Source organism: Homo sapiens, chromosome 8 (genome assembly GCF_000001405.40).
Source record: "Homo sapiens chromosome 8, GRCh38.p14 Primary Assembly".
NCBI lineage: Eukaryota > Metazoa > Chordata > Mammalia > Primates > Hominidae > Homo > Homo sapiens.
This window is the reverse complement of record NC_000008.11, coordinates 49,361,869-49,367,250: the sequence shown is the minus strand read 5'-3', so window position 1 is coordinate 49,367,250 and position 5,382 is coordinate 49,361,869. Positions and strand designations below refer to the sequence as shown.

Here is a 5,382-nt window from a genome sequence, read left to right as displayed (position 1 = left end):
GATTTGGATAATGCAGCAAATTGTTTGCAAAAATGTGTAAGATCATTCCTCTCTCTGTGCCCAGGCTGCTTTGCAATGTGACTTTCCAGCACCTCTCATAAATAAGTGAAGTCTATTTCTAAACCCTTTAATCTGGCCTGACTTTTTACTTTCTTTGGGCATAGAATACAGAGGAAGTGTTGTAACATTTCCAAACATAGCTTTGCACAATTCTACTCCCTCTGACTGAAAACCGTGTGAAAAGGACTGGCTGCCACGCTGAAAGATGAAGTCCATGTGGAGGAAAACTAGCTGCTCCAGCTCACAGTCAGTTAGCCCCCAGCTGGCCACAGACGCAGGAGGGAGCCCTAGCCAAGAGGAAATGAACCTGCGTCAGATCAGCAGAGCCTCCTCTGTGAACCCAGCCCAACTTAGCAAAAACAGTGTTGTGAACTCAAAAAATGTTGTTCTCAGCCAATGTGCTCTAGGGTAATTTTTAATGGATTTTCTATGGATCAAAAACTAGCTGATGCAGGTAAAAATCAGATTATATTGAACATAGTAGCCACATTGAATAGTTTAGGTATTTGTGCACTTGCAGTGCAAAGACACTGGAGTGCTTGAGATCAATTTTATGTTTTAATAGCATTCTGATGATTAGAAAAAGAGTTGAGAAAGGCCAAGAATGAGACCACTAAGATCATTTGGGAAACAGTTGCAATGGACAAGTGAAAATAATGTCGATTAGGATGGTAATACTGGAAATGAAAGAAAAAGAACAGATTCATATATATTTTGAATAAATAACAGGCAAGATTTAATGAATAATTATATGTAGTTGGTGGGAGAAAGAAAAGAATCAAAGATTCCTTCAACAAATATTAATTGAGTGCTTATAAGTTTTGAAAATGATAAAGTATCCCCCTAAATAAAGGCACAGCCTTTATCATCATAGAACTACAGTATCCTAGATGTTAAATAAATGTTCACAGTAATAAAGGCAAAATTACTATTGTTGTAACGTTTTTAGAGAAGAGGTTCACATGTTGCTGTGGAGGCCTCCTGATATTGGAGTCCGTATAGTTTGGCACTGTGCTATTGAGGGTATCATCTTTCAGATTACACTCTGGACATCTACATTAATTTATTTTGTCATTACAGTGCTGACTTGTGGCCAAAATTCTTTTAGAAAATAAACTAGGTACGGATATCAGGATACATTACATAGGTTAATGATACTTACAATTTGATAAATTCTTGTTTTATTTTAAATTTATGCCATGCATTGAGAAATATTGTATGTGTGTGAGTGTATTTGCATTCATCTGCAAAACAAAAATGTAGGAAAACCATACATATAGCACAGGATTTGAAATTATATTTTATATAAAAATGGCTTAGGCCAGATGCCTATCAACTTCCTATTAAAAAGCCTCTAATAATTTGGAGTAGAGATACTTATCTTCTAAGGTAAGAGAAAATATAAAACATCTCATATTGTCTGCTGAAACACTTAGGTCTGCATTCAGTTTTTAACCCAGAGCAAAGAGATGTTGGTCAATTGCTACCAATACAACTATCAGTTTTGTAGGGAAAGTGGCTAATTTCCACAGAAAAATTAAAATATATATTCTATTTCCTTCTTTATTTTTTCTCCTTCTCTATAGTGTTAGTATCATGAATATTAAAAATAAAAGCTGTTTTAAACATTGTTTAAATGGAATACTATATAAACTTAACATATGTTATGAAGTGTTATATGATATAACATTAAAAAATTAAGGAATAGTGTAAGTTGCTTTGGTTCAGTAAATAATTATCAATAAAGTAAGTATGTGTGTCTATATATATAGACACACATGTATATATGTGTGTATATATATGTGTGTATACATACATACATATACATAGACACATATATATACACACAAATATACATGTGTGTATATATAATATTACTATGGTAACATGCAATTAAAATAATTACTGCTCAATTAATAGACTGTATATAAATTGGCTCAAATATCAAAATCTATCTTTGAAATTTCTTAAATTTTTAAGCTTGAATTATCACAAATAGCATCCCAAACTATTACCTGGATAATATGGAATTATCGATTTGCATTGGAGCTGTATTAATATATATGATGGGAGAAAATATTTGAAGAAATGCGGACCAAAACACTTAAGTATTATCCTTTATTCTAGAGTCATCCTATATCAACTATTTTTTGAAATAATGGGTCAGTAATATTGACAGAAAAATAAAACAATTTGATTTTATTTTAGATAGCAATGTTCTTAGCTAAAATAACTAATAACAAACCAGAACTTGTACATACAGAAAAATTACTACTAAAAGGAAAGTTTATAGCAATAAACACTTACATAAAAAATAGAAAGACTTCAAATAAACAATCTAATGATGCACCTCTAGGCACTAGAAAAGCAAGAGCAAACCAAATGCAAAATTAGTAAAAGAAAAAATAATAAACATTGGAACAGAAGTAAGGTGGGGCACTGTGGCTCATGCCTGTAATTCTAGCACTTTGGGAGGCTGAGGCAGGTTAATTGCTTGAGGCTAGGAGTTCGAGACCAGCCCAAGCAACATGGCAAAAGCTCATCTTTACAAAAAAAAAAAATACAAAAATTAGCTGGGCATAGTTGTGCTAGCCTGTAGTCTCAGCTACTTGGGAGGCTGATACAGGAGGATTACTTCAGCCTGGGAGGTCAAGGCTGCAGTGAGCCACGATTGTGCCAATGCACACTGCACTCCAACCTGGGCAATAGAGCAAGACCTTGTCTCAAATAAATAAATAAATAAATAAATAAACAAACAAACAGATTGGAGAATAAAAAATTAAATCGAAACAAAAAATATTAAAAAATCAATAAAACAAATTTTTTTTGAAAAAATAAACAAAATTGCCAAACCTATAGCTAGACTATGAAAAAAGAGAGAAAACTCAAATAAATAAAATCAGACACAAAAGAAAACATTACAACTGATACCAGAGAAAACAAAGTATCATTAGATACTAGCATAATTAATTATAAGCCACATTATAAGCCAACAGATTGTAAAACCTAGAAGAAATGAATCATTCCTGGACATATAAAATTTCTTAAGATTGAACCATGAAGAAATAGAAAACCTGAACAGACCAATAACAAGTAATGAGATTAAAGAAATAATAAAGTCTCCCATCAAAGAAAAGCCCAGGACCTGATGGATTCCCTATTGAATTTTATCAAACGTCTAAATAATGATTAATACCAATTTTACTCAAACTATTTCAAAAAATTGAAGAAAAGTAACACTTCTAAACTCATTCTACAAAGCCATTTACCTGATATGAAAAGCAGACAAGGACACACATACACAAACTACAAGACAGTATCTCTGATGAACATATATGAAAAATCCTAAATAAAATAGTAGCAGATCAAATCAAACAACACATTAAAAAATGCACCATGATCAAGTGGACTCATTTCAGAAATGTAAGGATTGTTCAACATATACAAATTAATAAACATGATACATCACATCACCAGAATCAAGAACAAAAACCATATGGTCATTCCAGTAGATGTGGAGAAAACATTTGATAAAATTCAACATCTCTTCATGATGAAAACTTCCAACAAATTGGCTATAGAAGGAACATAGTTCAACATGATAAGGGATATATATATATATATATATAAAACCCACATGTAATATCATACTGTGGTATGTTAATGGGGAAAAACTAAAAGCTCTCCCACTAAGATCTGGAAAAGTAAAAGGATGCTTATTTTCAGCACTTATATTCAACATTTATATTGCAAACAGAGAAACTACACAAGCAAAAAAATAAAGAGCATTTAAATTGGAGAGGAAGAAGTCCAACTACCCCTGTTTGCAGATGACATAATCTTATATTTAGAATCAACTAAAGACTCCACCAAAAGAAAACTCTTAGAAATGATAAGCGAATTCAGTAAATTGCAGGATTTAAAATCAAAACACAAAAATGAGTAGTTAATCTCTAGAGAAATGCAAATCAAAACCACAATGAGATACCATCTCAGCTCAGAATGGCTATTATCAAAACAAAATATAACAAGCTGATAAGGACACAGAGAAAGGGGAACACTTACATACTGTTGACAGGAATGAAAATTAGTACAGCCATTATGGAAAACAGTATGGAGGTTCCTCAGAAAACTAAAAATAGAACTCCCATAAAATTCAGCAGTCCCACCACTGTGTATATACACTAACTACAATCAGTCTGAAAAAGAAATCAAGAAAACTATCCCATTGTTAATAGCTACGAAAAATAAAATAAAATACCTAGGAACAACTTTAACCAAAGAAGTGGAAGGATCTCCACAAAGGAAATTATTGGAAAGAAATTAAATAGAACACAAACATATGAAAAGATATCCCATATTCATGGATTGGAAGAATTAATATTGTTTAAATGTTCATACTACCCAAAGCAATCTACAGATTCAATGCAATCCCTCTCAAAATACCAATGACTTTTTTTTATAAAAATAGAAAAAAAAATTCTAAAATCCATATGGAACTACAAAAGACCCCACATAGCTAATAAAATCCTGAGAACTACCTGGGTGCAGTGGCTCATTCCTATAATCCTAGTCCTTTTGGAGATCAAGAATCGCTGGAACGCAGGAGTTTAACTCCACCTTGGGCAATATAGTAAGACCCCATCTCTACAAAAAATTTTAAAAGATTACCCAGGCATGATGGCATATTCCTGTTATTCTAGCTACTTATGAGGCTGAGGCAGAAGGATCAGCCCAGCTTGAGCCCAGGAGTTTGAGGCTGTAGTAAGCCATGATCACATCACTACACTCCAGCCTGGATGACAGACTGAAACCCCATCTCAGAAATGAAACAAAACTGTAAGCAAAAACAAAGTTGGAGGCATCACATCACCTAGTTTTGAATTATACTACAAAGCTATAGTAACCAAAACAGCATGATACTGGCATAGAAACAGATTTATAGACCAATGGAACAGAATAAACAACTGAGAGATGAATCCATGCACTTATAGCGAATTCATTTCTGACAGAGGCACTAAGCATATACAGTGGAAGAAGGTTGTCTCTTTAAAAAGAAGTGCTGAAAAAACTGAATATCCACTTGCTCAAGAACGAAACTAGATCCCCATCTTTCACCATATACAAGAGCAACTCCAAATGGATTAAAGACTTACATTAAAGATCTGAAACTATAAAACTACCAAAAGAAAATATTGCAGGCATGCTACAGGGTATTGATGTGGGCAAAGATTTTTCAGGTAAAGAATTCAACAGCATAGGCAACAAAAGCAAAAGTTGGCAAGTGGGTTTACACCAAGCTAAAAAGCTTCTGCACGGCAA

At 33.1% G+C, this 5,382-nt stretch overlaps 1 annotated feature.

The window, feature by feature from the left end:
* Positions 327 to 396: a silencer, noted in NCBI's record as "silent region_19185". NCBI's record gives its function as "represses an Ori minimal core promoter by ATAC-STARR-seq in GM12878 lymphoblastoid cells {active_cell/tissue: GM12878}" and the evidence as "EXISTENCE:reporter gene assay evidence [ECO:0000049][PMID:35858748]".